Source organism: Homo sapiens, chromosome 2 (assembly GCF_000001405.40).
Source record: "Homo sapiens chromosome 2, GRCh38.p14 Primary Assembly".
Taxonomy (NCBI): Eukaryota; Metazoa; Chordata; class Mammalia; order Primates; family Hominidae; genus Homo; species Homo sapiens.
The window spans coordinates 20,445,989-20,468,617 of record NC_000002.12 but is presented as its reverse complement, the minus strand read 5'-3'; the positions used below and the strand labels follow the sequence as shown (position 1 = coordinate 20,468,617).

At 46.6% G+C, this 22,629-nt stretch overlaps 1 protein-coding gene across 1 annotated transcript, besides 3 other annotated features; it reads right to left on the bottom strand.

The window, feature by feature from the left end:
• Positions 17,856–18,417: an enhancer, noted in NCBI's record as "NANOG-H3K27ac hESC enhancer chr2:20649962-20650523 (GRCh37/hg19 assembly coordinates)". NCBI's record gives its function as "activates a minimal SCP1, AML or CMV promoter by ChIP-STARR-seq in naive H9 embryonic stem cells {active_cell/tissue: H9 hESC(naive)}" and the evidence as "EXISTENCE:reporter gene assay evidence [ECO:0000049][PMID:30033119]".
• RHOB (ras homolog family member B) lies at positions 19,178–21,544 on the bottom strand. Its single transcript, NM_004040.4, has one exon. The coding sequence runs from the start codon at positions 21,150–21,152 to the stop codon at positions 20,562–20,564; it is 591 nt and encodes a 196-aa protein (NP_004031.1). The 5' UTR covers positions 21,153–21,544; the 3' UTR covers positions 19,178–20,561.
• Positions 21,126–21,335: a silencer, noted in NCBI's record as "silent region_11207". NCBI's record gives its function as "represses an Ori minimal core promoter by ATAC-STARR-seq in GM12878 lymphoblastoid cells {active_cell/tissue: GM12878}" and the evidence as "EXISTENCE:reporter gene assay evidence [ECO:0000049][PMID:35858748]".
• Positions 21,586–21,835: a silencer, noted in NCBI's record as "silent region_11206". NCBI's record gives its function as "represses an Ori minimal core promoter by ATAC-STARR-seq in GM12878 lymphoblastoid cells {active_cell/tissue: GM12878}" and the evidence as "EXISTENCE:reporter gene assay evidence [ECO:0000049][PMID:35858748]".

Below are 22,629 nucleotides of genomic sequence, written 5' to 3'. Positions count from 1 at the left end.
CAGCTGTGGTATGAACATGATCAACGACAGGTAGCTAAGGGCCTCTGACTCGTGAGCTTTCGGAATATCCTGATAGCGATAATGCTCTTCCTTCTTTAGAGCCAAAATCTGCCTCTTGAACTTCCTTCTCAGTTCTGCCTTTGAGGCCCACACAGACTTGACTGATCAAGTCATTCTTTCACGAAATGTTCACTGCCCGTCCTTCCAAGGCAGAGCCAGCATGCTGGGTACAGGCCTTGCCTTCAGGAGCTCAGAGTCCAGTGTGTGGCTTTCGGAATACGATGGACATGTAGATCAAGGTGCTGGAGAGCACACAGGATGCTGGATTATCCACCCCAGTCCTGAGATGTCAAGTGAAGGCTTCCCTAGGAAGCAACAGCTTCCCCAAGACCTAAAGTAGTAACACCTGCCGGGGCCCCAAAGGCCCAGAAAAGCAGCCATTACCCATGAGAAATGGGGAGACTGTTGCCCTTTAAACACCATGTTTATTCCTGAGAAGAAAATACTGGAGGATTCTAATTGTGGCAGCCCTGCCCCCATCCTGTTTACCAACAACCCCAGACATTGGAGGAAGCATTGCCACAGAAAGCTCCCAGGGATGAGGAATTTCGCTGGGGGCCATGCCATGCCCCAGTACCTACTCACACAGGCGAGCCTGGTACACAGGAGGTGGACAGCCCACAGTGCATGGAATTGACCAGACAGCCTAGAGTGATTTTCCAAGCGTAAGTCCCCAGCTAGCTTTGCTATAAAGGGCTGGTGAAGCCGAGAAAGGAGAGAGACACAAGGGAAAGACAGGGTGGGCCTGACACCTTCATTTCGGGAAGCAGGTAAGGGAGGGTGTATCTCCTCACCTTCCTCCTCCCACCAGCTCTGAGCCCACAGCTGCAGAGGCCCAAGAGGATGAGTTAGACTAGGATGGGCTTTATTTCTTAAAGTCACAAAGACTGTGTGTAAGAAGCAGCAGGAAGTCTCTCCAAGAGGGAGCCTTGACCCCTCCTCAGGGAAGAGCACACACATTCCCTCAGTGCTGAGCTCTGAGCCCATCCTGCTGCTCCCACCACAAACCTGCCTACCCAGTGTACACATGAAATCCTAGCACCCTGCACCCACTACACACACCCAGGCAGGTGGTAGGACTGATGACAGGTAGCAGGAACCAGACTAATTGCCAGGGCACAGGGATCTAGATGGGGGCTGGATCAAATCCCGTGTGTAGATCTGCAGCCTGTCTGTCCTTGACAAGGAGCCAAAAATGTCCTTTCATTGGGGCCTGAACCCTTTTTCAGTGGCCCCAAGCTCTCCAATTTCTGCACCACCAGGATCTGCTGGGCTAGTCCTCCGCCCTCCAGGAAGCAAAGGCAGACGCAGCTCGAGCCCACCTCCTTGGACTCACATGGCATTTTTTTTTTTTTTTTTGAGATGGAGTCTCGCTCTGTCGCCCAGGCTGGAGTGCAGTGGCGGGATCTCGGCTCACTGCAAGCTCCGCCTCCCGGGTTCACGCCATTCTCCTGCCTCAGCCTCCCGAGTAGCTGGGACTACAGGCGCCCGCCACTACGCCCGGCTAATTTTTTGTATTTTTAGTAGAGACGGGGTTTCACCGTTTTAGCCGGGATGGTCTCGATCTCCTGACCTCGTGATCCGCCCGCCTCGGCCTCCCAAAGTGCTGGGATTACAGGCGTGAGCCACCGCGCCCGGCCCACATGGCATTTTAACACTTGGCCTAAAGATGAAGGAGGGGCCTGACAAATCTTAGCGTAATTTGAAGAGGATGAGTCAGAAGCCGGTTCAGGGATCCGTTCTAGATGCTTGTTTTCAGCCTGAGCTCTGAAATCAGACTTGATGCTTCCAAACAAGGTGAGCATGTGAGTGACTTGACCTCACCTTCTACCATGGACTGCCAGAGTGCAACCTCCCCAGGCCTGGAGATCACCAGGCCACAGACCCAACCTCTGGCCCAGACACCTCAGAACTTGGCATTTGGCACTGTCAAGCCAGTTCAGGCATCTATTTCTCAGTCCCTTGGGAAAAAGACCTGCAGAGTGAGACAGGAACAGCCAAGTCTCCATTCAGCAGCTGGTCCTCCCCTAGGACACTGCCCAGATCCCGTTAAGGTCAAGCATGACCAGGAACTCAAGCTCAAGGCTGGCTTCCCGAAAACACTGAAATGCGAGGAGGGCGAACCTAGAGGGATTTGCCTTGAATGAAAATTTCCACACTGCACCCCTGCCCTAGGCTTCTGCCCCTGACAATATAATTTTCTGCTCTCATTTAACAAGAAGTAAAAAAACAAAATTGGAGCCAACTCTGAACAAAAGCCTCTCCTCCAATCTAATCCTGCAATCTAATTAAGCCTGGCTTCTAGCTCTGTGCCAGGAGAACCAGTTTGCCCAGACTTAAAGCAATTACCAGCTCCCTTGCAGCAGGTTTGGTAAACTGCATAAATAGAGCTCTGGGCTTGTACTCTGCCAGGTGCTGTGGTCCTATGAGCGAGTCTCCTCACTCCTTTCTTTTCCCATTTCATGGTGGAGTCCCATGGTTTTGCTGAGCCACGTAAGAGGCAGGGGACTTGCTTTCTCAGGTCACAAATGCAGCAGCTGAGTCCTGGGCCTAGTAAGAGTGGGTCTTGCACACACAGGACTAATGGCTGGATCTTTTTAGCATGCATTTCTTGATCATTTATAGGTAATCAGCATTTTTCCTGCCATTCGCTTCACCTGGATAAGTTACTGACTCTCCTTCCGTCTGTGGCTATGTCAGCAAAATGAGGCTGGGCAGGCTGTCTGTGGCTTTGTGGCCTGGCCAGCCTGCTCCTCATATGAGACATTGGATCAACAGACTGGTATGGTACCAGTTCAGCCTCTGCTGAGGACTTGTGAGCACCATACCTCTAGGAAGAAAGTCTGCTGGTCCCCAGACCCCTGTAACTTTCCTTCCGCACTTAAGGGAGTCAGGCTCCGCCACCACTTCTTTTGGAACCTGAATGGTGGTCCCTGTTTCCCTGGATGCACTCACCTGCCAAATTCATCCTATGCAATTCTCAGAATCTCCAGTTTATCAGTGGCCCTTTATTTTCATTTTTTTAATTTTTATATTTTGAGATCAGTTCTCACTCTGTTATCCAGGCTGAAATGCAGTAACACAATCACAGCTCACTGCAGCCTCGACCTCCCAGGCTCAAATAATCCTCCCACCTCAGCCTCTAGAGTAGCTGGAACTACAGGCACATGCCACCACTCCTGCACTCCCAGCTAATTTTTTTTCTTTTTTTTTTTTTAATTTTATCAGAAAATTTAATTTCAGCCACATATCCACTGTTAGGACTTCCTTTCAGTGCCTAAGGTAGCACATTATATATTGTCGGTTCCTCATGAATATTTATTGCTTGATGAATGTTTCCATATTGGTTATCTTCCATACTCAAATGCAGGGGCTCAAAAATGTTATTCATTTTGTTTATGAAGAAATAGCCCAGAGATTCTTGAACTGGTCAATATTAGTAATGTTGGAAGACATTGTCTAGAAGATTGGTTTCCAGATTCTACTGTGCATCAGATTTATTTGAGCAGATTAAATAAACACACAAATTCCAAGAGCCTCCAAAAACATGAGTTAGAATCTATGGAAGGTGCGGCTTGAGAATTTGTATTTTGGATATGCAGAAATAGCTGAGAGGATATGATTTGGCTATCGATGTCTGGACCAATGTTTGTGAATTGTTGATTCTTCCAATTCAGGGATCTTTCTTTCTTTTTTTTTTTTTTTTCTTCTTTGACTATGTTTCTTCTTAGCCAATCCAGAACATGATGACTTGTTTTTAAAGGTTTCCTTATTTTTATTATTATTATTACACTTTAAGTTCTGGGATACATGTGCAGGATCTGCAGGTTTGTTACACAGGTATATATGTGCCATGGTGGTTTGCTGCACCCATCAACCTGTCATCTACATTAGGTATTTCTCCTAATGCTAACCCTCCCCTAGCCTCCCACCCCCCGACAGGCCCCAGTGTGTGATGTTCCCCACCCTGTGTCCATGTGTTCCCATTGTTCAACTCCCACTTATAAGTGAGAACGTGCAGTATTTGGTTTTCTGTTCCTCTGTTAGTTTGTTGAGAATGATGGTTTCCAGCTTTATCCATGTCCCTGCAAAGGACATGAACTCATCCTTTTTTATGGCTGCTTAGTATTCCATGGTGTATATGTGCCACATTTTCTTTATCCAGTCTATCATTGATGGGCATTTGGGTTGGTTCCAAGTCTTTGCTATTGTGAATAGTGCCACAATAAACATACCTGTGCATGTGTCTTTATAGTAGAATGATTTATAATACTTTAGGTATATACCCACTAATGGGATTGCTGGATCAAATGGTATTTCTGGTTCTAGATCTTTGAGGAATCGCCACACTGTCTTCCAGAAAGGTTGAACTAATTTACACTCCCACCAACAGTGTAAAAGTGTTCCTATTCCTCCACATCCTCTCCAGCATCTGTTACTTCCTGACTTTTTAATGATCGCCATTCTAACTGGCATGAGATGGTATCTCATTGTGGCTTTGATTGGCATTTCTCTGATGACTAGTGATGATGAGCTTTTTTTCATATGTTTGTTGGCCACATAAATGTCTTCTTTTGAGAAGTGTCTCTTCATATCCTTCACCCACTTTTTGATGGGGTTGTTTGTTTTTTTTCTTAATAACTGTTTAAGTTCCTTACAGATTCTGGATATTAGCCCTTTGTCAGATGAATAGATTGCAAAAATTTTCTCCCATTCTGTAGGTTGCCTGTTCACTCTGATGATAGTTTATTTTGCTGCGCAGAAGCTCTTTAGTTTAATTAGATCCCATTTGTCAATTTTGGCTTTTGTTGCCATTGCTTTTGGTGTTTTACTCATGAGGTCTTTTCCCATGCCTATGTCCTGAATGGTATTGCCTAGGTTTTCTTCTAGGGTTTTTATGGTTTTAGGTCTTACATTTAAGTCCATCTTGAGTTAATTTTTGTCTAAGGTATAAGGAAGGGGTCCAGTTTCAGTTTTCTGCATAAGGCTAGCCAGTTTTCTCAACACCATTTATTAAATCAGGAATCCTTCCCCCATTGCTTGTTTTTGTCAGGTTTGTCAAAGATCAGATGGTTGTAGATGTTTGGCATTATTTCTGAGGCCTCTGTTCTGTTCCATTGGTCTATATATCTGTCTTGATACCAGTACCATGCTCTTTTCGTCACTGTAGCCTTGTAGTATAGTTTGAAGTCACGTAACGTGATGCCTCCAGCTTTGTTCTTTTTGCTTAGGATTGTCTTAGCTATACGGGCTCTTTTTTGGTTCCATATGATATTTAAAGTAATTTTTTTCTAATTCTGTGAAGAAAGTCAATGGTAGCTTGATGGGGATAGCACTGAATCTATAAATTACTTTGAGCAGTATGGCCATTTTCACAATATTGATTCTTCGTATCCGTGAGCATGGAATGTTTTTCCATTTGTTTGTGTCCTCTCTTACTTCCTTGAGCAGTGGTTCGTAGTTCTCCTTGAAGAGGTCCCTCACATCCCTTGTAAGTTGTATTCCTAGGTATTTTATTCTCTTTGTAGCAATTGTGAATGGGAGTTCACTCATGATTTGGCTCTCTGTTTGTCTATTATTGGTGTATAGGAATGCTTGTGATTTTCGCACATTGATTTTATATTTTGAGACTTGGCTGAAGTTGCTTATCAGCTTAAGGAGATTTGGGGCTGAGACGATGGGGTTTTCCAAATATACAATCATATCATCTGCAAACAGAGACAATTTGACTTCCTCTCTTCCTATTTGAATATCCTTTATTTTTTCTCTTGCCTGATTGTCCTGACCAGAACTTCCAATACTATGTTGAATAGGAGTGGTGAGAGAGGGCATCCTTGTCTTGTGCTGGTTTTCAAAGGGAATGCTTCCAGCTTTTTCCCATTCAGTATGATATTGGCTGTGGGTTTATAATAAATAGCTCTTATTGTTTTGAGATACGTTCCATCAATACCTAGTTTATTGAGTGTTTATAGCATGAAGGGGTGTTGAATTTTATTGAAGGCCTTTTCTGCATCTATTGAGATAATCATGTGGTTTTTGTCATTGGTTCTGTTTATGTGATGGATTACTATTATTGATTTGCATATGTTGAACCAGCCTTGCATCCCAGAGATGAAGCCAACTTGATCGTGGTGGATAAGCTTTTTGATGCGCTGCTGGTTTCAGTTTGCCAGTATTTTATTGAGGATTTTCACATCGATGCTCATCAGGGATATTGGCCTGAAATTTTCTTTTTGGTTTCTGTCTCTGCCAGGTTTTGACATCAGGATGATGCTGGGCTCATAAAATGAGTTAGGGATGATTCCCTCTTTTTCTATTGTTTGGAATAGTTTCAGAAGGAATGGTACCGGCTCCTCTTTGTACCTTTGGTAGAATTTGGCTGTGAATCTGTCTGGTCCTGGGCTTTTTTTGGTGGGTAGGCTATTAATTACCACCTCAATTTCAGAACTTGTTATTGGTCTATTCAGGGATTCAACTTCTTCCTGGTTTAGTCTTGGGAGGGTGTATGTGTCCAGGAATTTATCCATTTCTTCTAGATTTTCTAGTTTATTTGCATTTAGGTGTTTATAGTATTCTCTGATGGTAGTTTGTATTTCTGTGGGATCAGTGGTGATATCCCCTTTATCATTTTTTTGTGTGTTTATTTGATTCTTCTCTCTTTTTGTCTTTATTAGTCTGGCCAGCATTCTATCTATTTTCTAATCTTTTCAAAAAACCAGCTCCTGGATTCATTGATTTTTTGAAGGGTTTTTTGTGTCTCTATCTCCTTCAGTTCTGCTCTGATCTGAGTTATTTCTTGTCTTCTGATAGCTTTTGAATTTGTTTGCTCTTGCTTCTCTAGTTCTTTTAATTGTGATGTTAGGGTGTCGATTTTAGATCTTTCCCGCTTTCTCCTGTGGGCATTTAGTGCTATAAGTTTCCCTCTAAACACTGCTTTAGCTGTGTCCCAGAGATTCTGGTACATTGTGTCTTTGTTCTCGTTGGTTTCAAATAACTTACTTATTTCTGCCTTCATTTCATTATGTACCCAGTAATCATTCAGCAGCAGGTTGTTCATTTTCCATGTAGTTCTGTGGTTTTGAGTGAGTTTCTTAATCCTGAGTTCTAATTTGATTGCACCATGGTCTGAGAGACTGTTTGTTATGATTTCTTTTCTTTTGCATTTGCTAAGGAGTGTTTTACTTCCAACTATGTGGTCAATTTTAGAATAAGTGCGATGTGGTGCTAAGAAGAATGTATATTCTGTTGATTTGGGGTGGAGAATTCTGTAGATGTCTATTAGGTCCACTTGGTCCAGAGTTGAGTTCAAGTCCTGAATATCCTTGTTAATTTTCTGTCTTGTCAATCTGTCTAATATTGACAGTGGGGTGTTAAAGTCTCCCACTATTATTGTGTGGCAGTTTGAGTCTCTTTGTAGGTCTCTAAGAACTTGCTTTATGAATCTGGGAGCTTCTGTGTTGGGTTCATATATATTTAGGATAGTTAGCTCTCTTGTTGCATTGATCTCTTTACCATTATGTAATGCCCTTCTGTTACTTTTTTTATCTTTGTTGGTTTAAAGTCTGTTTTATCAGAGACTAGGATTGCAACCGCTGCTTTTTTTTTTTTTTTTTTTTTTTGCTTTCCATTTTCTTGGTAAACGTTCCTCTATCCCTTTATTTTGAGCCTATGTGTGTCTTTGCACATGAGATGGGTCTCCTGCATATAGCACACCAATGGGTCTTGACTCTTTATCCAATTTGCCAGTTTGTGTCTTTTAACTGGGGCATTTAGCCCATTTACATTTAAAGTTAATATTGTTATGTGTGAATTTAATCCTGTCATTATGATGCTAACTGGTTATTTTGCCCATTAGTTAATGCAGTTTCTTCATAGTGTCAATGGTCTTTACAATTTGGTATGTCTTTGCAGTGGCTGGTACCGGTTTTTCCTTTCTATATTTAGTGGGTCCTTCAGGAGCTCTTGTAAGGCAGGCTTGGTGGTGAGAAAATCTCTTAGCATTTGCTTGTCTGTAAATGATTTTATTTATCCTTTGCTTATGAAGCTTAGTTTTGCTGGATATGTAATTCTGTGTTGAAAATTCTTCTCTTTATGAATGTTGAATATTGACCCCCACTGTCTTCTGGGTTGTAGGGTTTATGCAGAGAGATCCGCTGTTAGTCTGATGGGCTTCCCTTTGTGGGTAACCTGGCCTTTCTTTCTGGCTGCCCTTAACATTTTTTCCTCCATTTCAACCTTGGTGAATCTGACAATTATGTGTCTTGGGGTTGCTCTTCTCGAGGAGTACCTTTGTGGTGTTCTCTGCATTTCCTGAATTTGAATGTTGGCCTGCCTTGCTAGGTTGGGGAAGTTCTCCTGGATAATATCCTAAAGAGTGTTTTCCAACTTGGCTCCATTCTCCCTGTCACTTTCAGATACAACAATCAAGCATAGGTTTGGTCTTTCCACATAGCCCTCTATTTCTTGGAGGCTTGGTTCATTCCTTTTCATTCTTTTTTCTGTAATCTTGTCTTCACACTTTATTTCATTAAGTTCATCTTCAGTCTCTGATATCCTTTCTTCCACTTGATCAATTCAGCTATTGAAACTTTTGTGTGCTTCACGAAGTTCTCTTGCTGTGCTTTTCAGCTCCACCAGGTCATTTATATTCTTCTCTAAACTGGTTATTCTAGTTAGCAATTCCTCTAACCTTTTTTCAAAGTTCTTAGCTTCCTTGCATTGGGTTAGTACATGATCCTTTAGCTCAGAGGAGTTTGTTATTACCCACCTTCTGGAGCCTACTTCTGTCAATTCATCAAACTCATTCTCCATCCAGTTTTGTTCCCTTGCTGGTGAGGAGTTGTGATCCTTTGGAAGAGAAGAGGTGTTCTGGTTTTTGGAATTTTTAGCCTTTTTGTGCTGGCTTTTCCTCATCTTCTTGGATTTATCTACCTTTGGTCATTGATGTTGGTGACCTTCGGATGAGGTTTCTGTGTGGACGTCCTTTTTGTTGATGTTGATGCTATTCCTTTCTGTTTGTTAGTTTTCCTTCTAACAGTCAGGCCCCTCTGCTGTAGGTCTGCTGGAGTTTTCTGGAGGTCCACTCCAGACCCTGTTTGCCTGGGTGTCACCAGCAGAGGCTGCAGAACAGCAAAGATTGCTGCCTGTTCCTTCCTCTGGAAGTTTCGTCCCAGAGGGGTACCCACCAGATGCCAGCCGGAGCTCTCCTGTATGAGGTGTCTGTCAACCCTTGCTGGGAGGTGTCTCCCAGTCAGGAGGCAAGGGGATCAGGGACCCACCTGAGGAGGCACTCTGTCTCTTAGCAGAGCTCAAGCGTTGTGCTGGGAGATCTGATCCTCTCTTCAGAGCCAGCAGGCAAGAATGTTTAAGTCAGCTGAAGCTGTGCCCACAGCCACCCCTTCCCCCAGGTGCTCTGTCCCAGGGAGATAGGAGTTTTATCTATAAGCCCCTGACTGGGGCTGCTGCCTTTCTTTCAGAGATGCCCTGCCCAGAGAGGAGGAATCTAGAGAGGCAGTCTGGCTACAGTGGCTTTGCCGAGCTGTTGTGGGTTTCACCCAGTTCAAACTTCCTGGTGGCTTTGTTTACACTGTGAGGGGAAAACTGACTACTCAAGCCTCAGTAGTGGCAGACGCTCCTCCTGCCACCAAACTCAAGCATCCCAGGTCAACTTCAGACTGCTGTGCTGGCAGTGAGAATTTCAAGCCAGTGGATCTTAGCTTTCTGGGATCTGTGGGGGTGGGATCCACTGAGCTAGACCACTTGGCTCCTTGGTGTCAGCCCCCTTTCCAGGGCAGTGAATGGTTCTGTCTCACTGGCATTCCAGATGTCACTGAGGTATGAAAAAAAACTCCTACAGCTAGCTCAGTGTCTGCCCAAATGGCCGCCCAGTTTTGTGCTTGAAACCCAGGGCCCTGCTGGTATAGGCATCCAAGAGAATATCCTGGTCTGTGGGTTGTAAAGACAGTAGGAAAAGCGTAGTATCTGGGCCTGAATGCACCATTCCTCATGGCACAGTCCCTCATAGCTTCCCTTGGCTAGGGGAGGGAGTTCCATGACCCCTTGTGCTTCCAGGGTGAGGTGATGCCCCATCTTGCTTCTGCTCACCCTCCGTGGGCTGCACCCATTGTCTAACCAGTCCCAATGAGAGGAGCTGGGTATCTCAGTTGGAAATGCTGAAATAACCCTCCTTCTGCGTTGATCTCATTGGGAGCTGCAGACGAGAGCTGTTCGTATTCTGCCATCTTGCCAGCCCCTCTAATTTTTTTTTTTCTATTTTTTGTAGACACTGGGTTTCACCATGTTGCCCAGGCGGGTCTTGAACTCCTGGGCTCAAGTGATTCACCTGCCTTGGCGTCTCAAAGTCCTAGGATTACATGTGTGAACTGCCACACCCAGCCTATTATCAAGGCCCCTTTAAAGTCAAAATTCGATAACTTAATAGTTACTAAGAACCTACCATGTGACAGGCCCTGATCTAGATGCTGAGGCTGCAAAAATGTGTATGATATGATGCCCTGGGGAGCTTACAACTGAAAAAATCCTAAATAAACAAGAGTTGTTATTGTTCCATACTCATGTAGTCAACAAAATTTATTCCATTCCTGTTTGTGCTTAAGGTACTCTGATGAATCCACTCAAGGGAAGGAATCGAGATTTATTGAGGACTTAGAATAAGCTGGGCACTCTGCCGAGTATTTGGTTTGATCTTGTTTAATCTTCAAAATCATTTTACAAATAAAGAACCTGAGGCAGTAGAGGGCAGGAGGAATTGGCCCAAGAATGTGCAGATAGTGACAGACAGAGACTGGGCTTCTGTCTGTGGTCCTTGATTTTCCAGCTAAACCACACTGCCTGTCCTGCAGCAGCAGGAGATGAAATGATATGATGGGTTCCAGCCTGGGTAATATATCAAGACCCCCATCTCCACAGAAAATGTAAAAATTAGCCAGGCGTGGTGGCACCCACCTATAGTCCTAGCTGCTCAGGAGGCTGAGGCAGGAGGATCCCTTGAGCCCAGGAGTTCAAGGCTGTAGTAAGCTATGACCACGCCACTACACTCCAGTCTGGGCAACAGAGCAAGTCTCTAAAAAAAAGAAATAAACTAAAATTACAATGGGATATGTGTTATGACAGAAAGGAAGACATTCCCCTCTTACTCCACTCCTAACCCTCTTTTTTGAGGTCCCCAGCAAATTTCATGAACTTTGATCTCTTCTATTACCTAGCTGGGGATGAGAAGGTTGCAGAGGCCCAGGGTGAATCTGGGGCTCAGCTGCTTCTGCCTCCAGTTACCCCCTTCATGGTCGTGCTTGACATTCTGACTTCTTAGTTTACTGGTGAAATTACTCACCAGTTGGTCAGTATGTCATGGAAAGAGATTAGGTCATATCAGCCTGCTAGGAAACTCTTGGCTTTCTAAACCTGGTTAGCACTTTTTCCCTTTGAGTTGTTTATACATTCATTGCATTTCATCTTTATTTGTTCTTGCAGATTTGGCAGGTGACAAACTATATAATCCGTAACTTCTACCATTACCCATAAAGTTAAAACTTTGAACAATTCTCCTTTGGCATGGCTAAACCCACCTCAGAGAACCCAAGCTGGCTAACTTATGTTGGTGCTATCTTATGCATTTAGTCTGGATCTCCATTTGGCCAATGATTCTAGACATCTTTGGAGGAAATTTGTAGCCAGAAGATTGCTCAACCTAAGTAAATGGGGATAGATGGATCTTCCCATTTGCAAAATCAGCCTGGTTATGTGACCAAACATCAGAGTTTCCCATATTTGGCCATTATTGAAGAGCGTATATTTTACAAGTGATTTTTTAAGCACTTATACAAATACTATTTTTTATACTATCAGAATCCCATTTAAAATTTTTCTACCATTAAATGGCAAATGCATTCTTGCATTCCTTTTAGGTACCTCCAGAAGGTTTCAATTGTTTATCCAAGGGTCAAACAAGCTCTGGAATTAAATGGAATCAATCCTTAACAAAGTGATGAGTAACTTGCTTCTTGTAACATTTTTTCTTTCCTTTTCAGGATTAAAAGGAGAAGAAAAATATCCCCAAATGACAGCCAGAGGATAGAGGTCACCCAGAGTCATAAAAGCCCATGGTCTGTGTTTGTAGCCCTTGGAATTTCACATTCAGATCATGACTCCTAGAGTTAAAAACACAGGCCAGTTTCTCAATCCAGGATCCAAAACTTCCCAGCTTCCTCTGACACTTGAAGGTCAGCCCCTGGTGACCAGCACTGAGCACACTAGCCACCCAGGTGGTCCTGTGGAGGGTGGCCTGCAGCCCTGGAAATGCACTCCTGCTATCTGATTCTCAGGATTACCAGGAGTACTTCCCCCAGGACCTTGCTGGGCCAAAGCACACTGTGGAGATGGGGGTACAGAGAAGCCCTTTTCTCCATGGGTGCTGCCAGTGCCCAAAGCCTGGCCTTCAAGGAGAATGAACTTTCTTTCTCTTTTCTTTTCTTTTTCCTTCCTTCCTTCCTACCTTCCTTCCTTCCTTCCTTTCTTCCCTCCTTCCCTCCCTCCCTCCCTCTCTCTCTCTCTCTTTCTTTGTTTTTTTCTGGTTTTGCTCTGTTGCCCAGGCTGGAATGCAGTGGCAGAATGTTGGCTCACTGCAACCTCTGCCTCCTGTCTCCCAGGTTCAAGCGATTCTCGTGCCTCAGCCTCCTGAATAGCTGGGATTAGAGGCATAAGCCACCACGCCCAGCTAATTTTTGTATTTTTAATACAGACGGGGTTTAACCATGTTGGCCAGGCTGGTCTCCAGCTCTTGACCTCAAGTGATCTGCCCACCTCAGCCTCCCAAAGTGCTGGGATTACAGGTATGAGCCACCACACCCAGCCAAAGAGAACTTTCTTAACTTCCCTGTACTCACAGCACAGCCATTCTTCAGCTCATCTTCCTCTCATTGCTTATGGCAGCTGTTCCAAACTTTTGTCACTTCCTCAGGTCTCTTAGAAGTTGATGCTTCCTAAATTTCTGTAATTTATTTAATTAACTCATTCATTCAACTACTATTTGAGGTCCTAGGAGATGTCAAGCACTGTATAGGGCATTAGGGACACAGCAGTGAATGAGCGGACATGGCCCCACGCTTGTTGTGGAGCTTCTAAGCTAGCTCACAGTCCCTTCCAACTCCACTGACTTCCCAGGTCATCCCATCCCTTCTCCCAGCCTTCAGTTACAACCTGTACCCTGAAAACTCCCTCTTTTCTCAGCTGACCCAGAAATCCATCCAACTGGGCCAGACAGTGTCATATAGGCATCCTGGCTTCTGGCTGGCAATGAGGAAAAGAATCTCCTTATAAAGAGGATGGTTGAACAACTCGGCCAAGACTCATCCCAGAGTGCCTTTATCCTGGGGATACCTGCTCTGATCCCAGCTGAAATCTCCATGCTGGAAACCCTCAGGAAACCATTTCCCCTTCCCACCTGCCTAGGCAGGGATAATACACAGCAGCACTAAAGCCAGGCTACAGCTTTTAGCAGAACTTTCTTGAAGGTTCCTAGAGAAGAAAATTAATTATCCACCAGGTGGAACTTACAACTGGATATTGGATATGTTTTCTCCTAGAGTATACACTGGCCTGGACGGCCCTGATAGGCTCTCTCTGCCTACCCTGGTCACCTACGTAGAAAAGAAGTCACCTCCCCTCCCCATCTTATCCCCACCCAGAAATACTTTCAACACACCTAGAGCATGTTCTCAGAGAGGGAGGCCGGGAGCAGTGGCTCATGCCTGTAAACCCAGCACTTTGGGAGACTGAGGTGGGAGGATCACTTAAGCCCGGGAGTTTGAGACCAGCCTGGCCAACATAATGAGACCTCATCTCTACAGAACATTTAAAAAAAAAAACTAGCTGGGTATGGTGGTATGTACCTGTAGTCCCAGCTACTCGGGAGGCTAAGGTGGGAGGATAGCTTAAGCCCAGGTTGAGGTTGAGGGTGCAGTGAGCCAAAATCGTACCACTGTACTCCAGCCTGAGTGACAGAGTGAGACTCTCCCTCAATAAAACAGACAGAGAGGGGAAGGAGGCCCCCTTTCTCTGCTGTTTCTGGTCTTTTTTTAATTCTTTTTTAATTCTCCACTCTGTTGCCCAGGCTGGAGTACAGTGGTGCTCTCATATCTCACCACAGACTCCCAACTCCTAGGCTCAAGCAATCCTCCTGCCTCAGCCTCCCTAGTAGCTGAGACTACAGGCACATGCTGCCATGCCCAGATACTTTTTTTATTTTTTATTTTGGTAGAGATGAGAACTCACAATGTTGCCCAGGCTAGTCTTCGACTCCTGGCCTCAAGCAATGCCCCCACTTCAGCTTCCTGAAGTGCTGGGATTACAGGTGTGAGCCACTGTGTAAGGTCTGCTTTCTAAGACCACAGTTCCCATCCCAGGATTTTCTTCTTCCTAGGAAGATTGTTCTGACTAGGTCCTCTCCCTGCAGGGGGACTTCTTTCATCCATAGATTGTGGCCTTTCTGCCTGCTGAACAGTACACTGTAGTCTAACTCTGTAGAGAAAGTACACATATTGTGATGTGGGGGTCGGGGGAGGGAAGGAGGTTGAGAAGGACAGTGACTATTTGCAGAGATACCTTGCACTATCTATAAAACCAAACTCAATATGTCCCTCCCCACAAATCTACTCACCTTTTGTGGGTACCCTCCCCACAAATCTACTCATCTTTTGTGGGTACCCAAATTTGTGGGTACCCTCCCCACAAATCTACTCATCTTTTGCTTATTCTTATCTTAAATAATGGCATCATTATTTAAATAAATATGTCCCTCCCCACAAATCTACTCATCTTTTGTGGGTACCCTCCCCACAAATCTACTCATCTTTTGTGGGTACCCAAATTCGTGGGTACCCTCCCCACAAATCTACTCATCTTTTGCTTATTCTTATCTTAAATAATGGCGTCAGCATCCTCAAAGTCACCCAAATCAGAGTACTGGGCATCACCCTGGTGCCTCCCACTCAGGTTCCCACACCCTCTTTCTCCTAAATATCTTTCCAACCTGCCATCTCCTTCCCGTATCTGCACCTGGGTTCAGGCCTTCTCATCTCTACTGGAACCAGGGAAAAGTCTTCCTCACTGATCTTCCTGCCTCCAGCTTCCCTGCTCTAATCCATCCTCCACACTGCAGTTTGCTTTCTCAAACTGGAATCCCACCATACATGTAGGATTGTTTTCCTGGAGCCAGACTACCTGTGTTCAAACCTGTGTAAGTTTTGTGACCGTGGGCAAGTTGCTCGACCCCTGTGTAGCTCAGTTTCCTCATCAGTAAAGTGAGGATAATGGTGCCCGCCCCAGAGAGACTGTGGTCAGCTGCTTCTAAAATGGCTTCCAATGAGCCCACCTTCTGGTAGTCATGCCCTGTGTAATACCCTCTCATCATCATCATGATTATGACTTGTTTAGGCACACCACTATGCTAAAAACTCCAAAAGGGTAAGGATAGTGGCTGTCTGTTTAGCTGCTGTATCTCAAGCTCTTAGCATTGTGCTAGGTTCACAATCTTATAGTCAACGATAAAAGAATAAACAGGAAGAAACTGAACTGGGGTCCTCCAGACTCTTACCTCTTGGGCCAGAAAAGGAGCTGCTGAGAGTCGGGGGGCACTCTGAGAGCCCAGGTGCTCCTTCCAGCCAGAAGATGGACCAAGTAAGTAAGGACCCAGCAAGCTGGCACCCAAGGTCCCTTTTGGTTTCACAGCCTCCTTGAGGCCAGGGTGGAGGTTTCTCCGGAGCACAGGGATCACAAAGCTAGTCCTGTGTCTGAATCACATCCCTGGAAGGCACAGAGGAAACAATGAAATCTTCATCACCAACCCCCTCTCCTGGCCTGCCAGATAGATGCTCCTTGTTTTGTGAACAGGGAGCGAAGAGGAGAGGCTGTGTTTTACTTGGCTAGGTAATACCACTCTTCTTGACTGAAGAAATATACGCTAGAGGGACTAAAAGTAGAAAGTAGTTCTCACCCAAGACAGCTTTATTCCCAGAGGCGAGGCCCTACAGTAACATAAAGAAGCTGTATGTATCCTCGATGTGCCAATGGCCCAATTATCTCCCTCCCCACCCCACCCCCAAGATTTTTTCCACCTACACATCACCCACTCCTGCTTAAGATTTAGCTCAAATGATTCCTCCTCCATGACACCTTCCCCATCTTCCCGGGCAAAAATAGGTACCTGTGCCCTAGGCTCCTGTCGTGCCCTTGCCTAATGCCTCCATTACATCATGCTATAATTGTGGTCTTGGTGGATGCCTTCTTGCAACTGCCAGGGGGCCACCAGGCTGTGAATGAGCTCCTGGAGGGGGAGGACTGTGTTTTATTGCTTTTGTATTCCCACCTCATCAGAGTTCACAAAGTAGGTGCCAACGCTGATTAAATTAGAGTGCTGTTGCATTCTGAATTCAGGAATGGCAGAAATAGGTTGGGGCCTGGTGGCTCATACCTGTAATCCCAACACTTTCGGAGGAGGATATAACAGGACTGCTTGAGCCCTGGAGTTCGAGACCATCCTGGGCAAAATAGCAAGACTTTGTCTCTACAAAAAAAAATTTAAAAGTTAGCTGGGCACACCTGTAGTCCCACCTACTCAGGAGACTGAGGTGGGAGGATTGCTTGAGCCCAGGAGGTTGAGGCTTCAGTGAGCTATGATGGCACCACTGCACTCCAGCCTGGGCGACAGAGCAAGACCCTGTCTCTTAAAAAGGAAAGAAAGAAATGAATCTCTAGAAGGGCATTAAACCCATTTTTGCAGAAGAATGTAGGGAAGAGAAGATAGGAGTTATGTGTGGCTTATCTTAGAAGGAAAGCTCTCTGGAAGCTATGTACTCCGTTGTGTAAGGAAGTCAAGACTGCAGGGCATAGCACCATAAGTCTGTGGAATTTAATCTATTTTCATAGGAAACCACCTCCCTACTCTGTACACTGACAAGGACTCTCCCTTATTCGAAGCCAGTAGTTCTCAAAGTGTGGTCCCAACCAGCAGCTTGTCATCACTTAGAACCTTGCTACAAATTCAAATTCTTAAGCCCTAGCCCAGACCTACTGGATCAGAAACTGTGGGGTTAGGCCCAGCCATCTGTGTTTTAACCAGCCCTCCGTGTAATTCTAATACACACTTGACTTTGAAAACTGAAGTTCCAAGTCTACTGAAACTCACGTGAAAAAGACCTTAGAAATACAATCCAGATTGATTAAAGATTAAGATTAAAGGAGAACTCAAGACAATGCCCCTTACTGCAAAATGCCCAGGATCAATGCAACTTCCCAGTATTTTCCACGAAACAGTTCAACAGGCAATTAAATCAACTCAACACATTTATTTTAAATGTGCAAAATGAATTTTCATATTCTAAGAGTAACACCAGATGTTTTACCTCTTTTTCCTAATTGATTTTCCAGCCTACAGCAATTCATCTTTATGTTTTCCAGTTGGATCCTAATGCAGCAAGAAGAGTGTGTTCCGGCAGGATTATGAAATGCCACGCATTTTCAAACAAGCATAACTTGGGCTGCCATGCGTCATCTGAGTGTTTGTCTGCCCATAATATAAAACACAGACAGTTATGGGTACCAGGCAGATCAGAGCAACCCAGAAAAGGCCCTTTCAGGGAGTTGGGCCTCCAGGCTCTTGGCTGGTTGCAAAGCTGAGTCCTGGGCATTCAGCCCAAGCCTGAACTCTTCCCCCACTGGGTCCTGCGCTCCCTGGTACCAAAGGATTTGCTAGCTGTAAAAGCTGCAAATAAACATGCTGTTTGTCGATGGGAAGTTTTGTCTTTAAAATGAAAAAGGAGACTGCAGTCTGGAGGTGAGTGGGGCCGAGGGACTGAGGAAGGAGTTAGGCAGTTGCTCAAAGCAGGCAGCCTGGATAGACCCCTCTCCCCTCTGCTCCTGGAGGAGCCCAGACAATCCCCTTCTGTTAGTCAATGCACCCACCCAGCTGAGCAGGAGGTCCAGTTACTGCCAGCATTTAAGTGGGTGAAAGGTCACCACCAACCAGGTTTTATTCACTCAACAAAAGCTCTTGGAGTCTGGGGTAAGACCAGGAAACAGAAGCCTCAAGCTTTGAAGCAAACAACTTCAAAGGAGACCTCCACCTTTGTCCTGGGAATGGGGAGGAGGGGGAAGGAGAAGGTGGCAACTAAGTGCTAGAAACCCAGAAAATGCTGATTCAAAAAAAATGAAAACCACACTTCTCAGGCAGTTGACACTCTCAGCTACCTTCCCTGGAAGCTGCGAGAGCTGGCAGGTTTGAACCATCATGCCTGCAGCAGAATTTTAATGTGGTCTCCACCTATAAATCAGCCCGTCTGGTTCTAAGAACCATTACAGCAAAGCTAAGTGTCTACGATTAGAGTTTATCATGACTCTCAAAAAGTGGCAGCTCCAACTTTAAGAACCACCAAAACATCCAATGTTCTTTCCACAATATGGCCCTTCTCTGAACTTAGAATAAATCATTCTAGGTTACTTAATAAAGGACATATTGGGATCAAAGCTTGATAATTTTAAAAAATCACCTCTTTATCTGAACTCCCCCACTTCTGGAAGCTCCAGGCCCAAAGATAACAACCTACAACTTCCTGGGATATTGTGTAAACCCCTTGATGGCCTGAAGGGAACCCAGTAAACAGGCTTCCTGATAGCGTGACCCCACACCAACGATTAATAAAGGTTTTCTAAATTTAAAATGCACAAATGATAACTTTCCAAGACTCAAAGAATAAGCAAAGCCCCATAATAGACTTAAAGACACAAGTGTTTTTAAGACACACAGATGAATGAAATCAAGATCTTCGGTCTCACCCAATTGAACTGAGTACATAATAGGTCAAAAGTTTTTGCACTGGGTGTCGGGGTATCCACTCATCTTCCTCTAGGAATGTGACAGGAACAACCTGGTCTCCCTTGGTCACCCAACCCCCACATGCTCTCAAAGGGACTTCATCCTCATTTACTACATTTGCTATAAGGGAAACGGAGTTGGCAAGAAAGGATCTCGCCTAGGAGAATATCTCCCTTGTTCCAAATTCACAAGGGTATTTTTACACACTATTAAACCACAAGAGCCATTTTATAAATGTCATCATCATAGTCTTTTAATATTTTACATAAAAAACTGTATACACAGCTTATAGAACTTTTATGTAAACATCATAAGCTCACCATTTTGTCATTTGTCAGTTTATTTAAAAAATAAAAAACAAGACAACAATTTAGTAGAAGTACCACTGGGAGGGAGGGGAGGGGAAAAAAGGATATACAGGGGCAGGTGTATTCTCTGTACAGAGGTGCAGAGAAAATTTCACATAGCTTTAGAGAATGCCTTGTGGAAAAAAAAAAAATAGGCCCCAATACTTGTTACTGCCCTTTATCAAAACTGTGTGCATGACCTGCACAAATAAAATCACAAAACAGTGTTGCCACATTCTTCAAGGAAACAAAGCAAAATTTAGTGGGTTTCTTTTCCCTCTCCTTGTTAAAAGTCATTTTTTAAAAACATCAGAAGTAGATGAGGTTACAGCGTACAAGTGTGGTCAGAATGCTACTGTCGTATGCAAATGACGAGTGCATTAAGTGTCAAACAATGAAACAATTGTGCAAAGAATAAAAAAACAAATTTTAGCCTTTAAATAAATCAAATAACATCAGTTTCTTGGACTGAACAATTTTCACTTCTAGGACAGGCACAAAGTTCGCTTATGGCAAAAACAACCCCACAGCGCATCCTCCCTCCTCCCTCCGGTAGCTGGTGGAGGGTTCGCAGCGGGCTGGCCCGCAGGAGAGGCTGTGCTGAAGCTGTGTCCTCCCCAAGTCAGTTGCAAATGTCTTCCCCAGGGGTTGGAAAGATGGTCAAGTCCTGTTCATGCTTGGGCGGGAGTCTGGCCCAGCCTGGGCCAGAGCGCTCACCCATCACCACCCTTAAATAACACCATCTTAGCTCCGAAAATAAAATTATATCTATATTTATATAACATCCCCCCATCCTCCCCAGCAGCCCTCCCCTCCCGCAGTACCCGGGGTCTATGTTACAGACAAGGGATATCAAGCTCCCGCTGGTGAAGGGCGAACATCTGATGGGGCGCGGCCACACTCCCGCGCCAATCTCGCCCCCGGGGATCAGAGGCGGGGGTGGGGTGAAAATGGGGCGAGGGGAGTCGAACAGACACACAGCCACACACTCTGAGGCCCGGCTCTTCAGAAAAGCATGCTCAGGGGACCCTTGGCACTCAGTGGGGAGCCCAGGCCTGTGCAACACAGCTGGACGCACACAGACACTGGGATGGGGGCGCCCGGTGCCCACGCCAAGTCCTGGCGCAAGCCAGAGGCGTCAGCAGACAGATGCCAGGCAGGCCGGTGGGGTCCTTGTGGGACACGGGTCTCCCCTTCTCCGGGCTCGCGGGGGACTGGTCCAGGAGGGGGAGCCGTGCCGGCAGGGGCAGGCGCGACGGGCGCGGCCCTCATAGCACCTTGCAGCAGTTGATGCAGCCGTTCTGGGAGCCGTAGCGCTTCTGCAGCGCGGCGCGCGTGGCCGTCTCGAAGACCTCGCGCACGCCTTCCTTGGTCTTGGCAGAGCACTCGAGGTAGTCGTAGGCTTGGATGCGCACGGCCATGGCGCGGCCGTCATCCGTGCGCACGGGTTCCTGCTTCATGCGGGCCAGCTCTGTGCGGACATGCTCGTCGCTGCGCAGGTCTTTTTTGTTGGCCACCAGGATGATGGGCACATTGGGACAGAAGTGCTTCACCTCGGGGACCCACTTCTCGGGGATGTTCTCCAGCGAGTCCGGGCTGTCCACCGAGAAGCACATGAGAATGACGTCGGTGTCCGGGTAGGAGAGCGGCCGCAGGCGGTCGTAGTCCTCCTGGCCCGCCGTGTCCCACAGCGCCAGCTCCACCTGCTTGCCGTCCACCTCAATGTCGGCCACATAGTTCTCGAAGACGGTGGGCACGTACACCTCGGGGAACTCGTCCTTACTGAACACGATCAGCAGGCACGTCTTGCCACACGCGCCGTCGCCCACCACCACCAGCTTCTTGCGGATGGCCGCCATGAGCGGGCCGGGCCCGGGCAGCAGGAGGGGGCCCGCGAACGCCTCGCTGCCCTCCCGCTCGCCGCTCACTGCTCACCTCGGGCTGCGCGCAGGTGGCGAGAGGGTCGCTAGCTGCACCCGGGCCCCGCGGTGGCGCGTTCTCTCGCTGCGCTTCGGCTGCCGCGGCGGGGGCGGTGGGGGCGCGGGGGCATAGGGCGCACCGTGCGTCTCGCCGCGCTGCTCCCGGGCGGTGGTCGCTCTGCTCACCCCAGGCCGGGGATCGGCGGCTTTGTGCGTAACGCGGGCTCGGGCAGCAGACTCGGGCGGTGGACTCGGCCTAGCTCTCTCCCGGGTCTCTCCGGGCCTCGCTGAGCATACAAGACAACAGCTCCAACCAGACTGCGGTGGCAGATGAGGGCTGCGGCCCTAGCGCCCGCTATTTAAAGAGTCCGGCCACTTTCTTAATATAGCCGTCCAATGGGAAACCAGCCGGCTGAGCTCATCGCTGCGGAGCTTAGCTCTGATTGGCCGCCCCCTGCAGCCCGAGGGCGGGGCAGGGCCAGCTTGATTGACGGCCCAGGCCGCCGGGCTGGGAGAGGCAGCGACCGGGGAGTCCGCGCTGCTGCTGCCGCTGCGGGGCTCTGGCGGTACCCGGGTCCCCTCCTTCGCCGCAGCGTTTGCGCGCGGGGTCCGGGAGCTGGCTGTCTGGAGCCTCCAGGGTCTGGGCGAGCGGTTCCGAGACAGGCTTCACTCAGTGGGGCGTTGGCGACTCCCATTCAGAATTGCCCCTCTTCCTGGCAAACTCCCGGCGGGTGGTCGGGCCTGTGGGGGAGGGGCAGCTCTTTTAACGTGGTTTTGTTTTTAAATAAACAGACACACACACACACACACACACACACACACCCCACACACACACTTTTGTTCCCAAACAAGAGTGTTTTCTCTTTTCTTTTGGAGGTGGCCCCTCCTGTGGTTTAGGGCCCCACCCGGGTACTCGCCGTGGGCCAGCCTCGGGTTTGGACCCGAGAGGCGACCGGCTGGCTGCAAACTGGCTCTTCCAAGTCCCGCCGCCCCTACCCTTCCCAACCCCCAGCTTAGGTCTCTAGGTGAAGATTAAGGGAAGAGGTGCGGAGTGGCCCAAGCTTGACAACGGAAAGGGAAGGTCGAGGCTCGAACACTTGGAGGAAGTTACCGGACAGGAAGAAGCCCCTTCGGCCCCTCTTTTCACTATGAACTCTGATCCCGGTTCTTAAAACAGAGAACTGTCTGAGATAAATTGTACAATAGAATATACACTATTGTACAATAGAATGTACAATAGAATATACACTATTGTACAATAGAATGTACAATAGAATATACACTATTGTACAATAGAATGTACAATAGAATATACACTTGTACAATAGAATGTACAATAGAATATACACTATTGTACAATAGAATGTACAATAGAATATACACTATTGTACAATAGAATGTACAATAGAATATACAC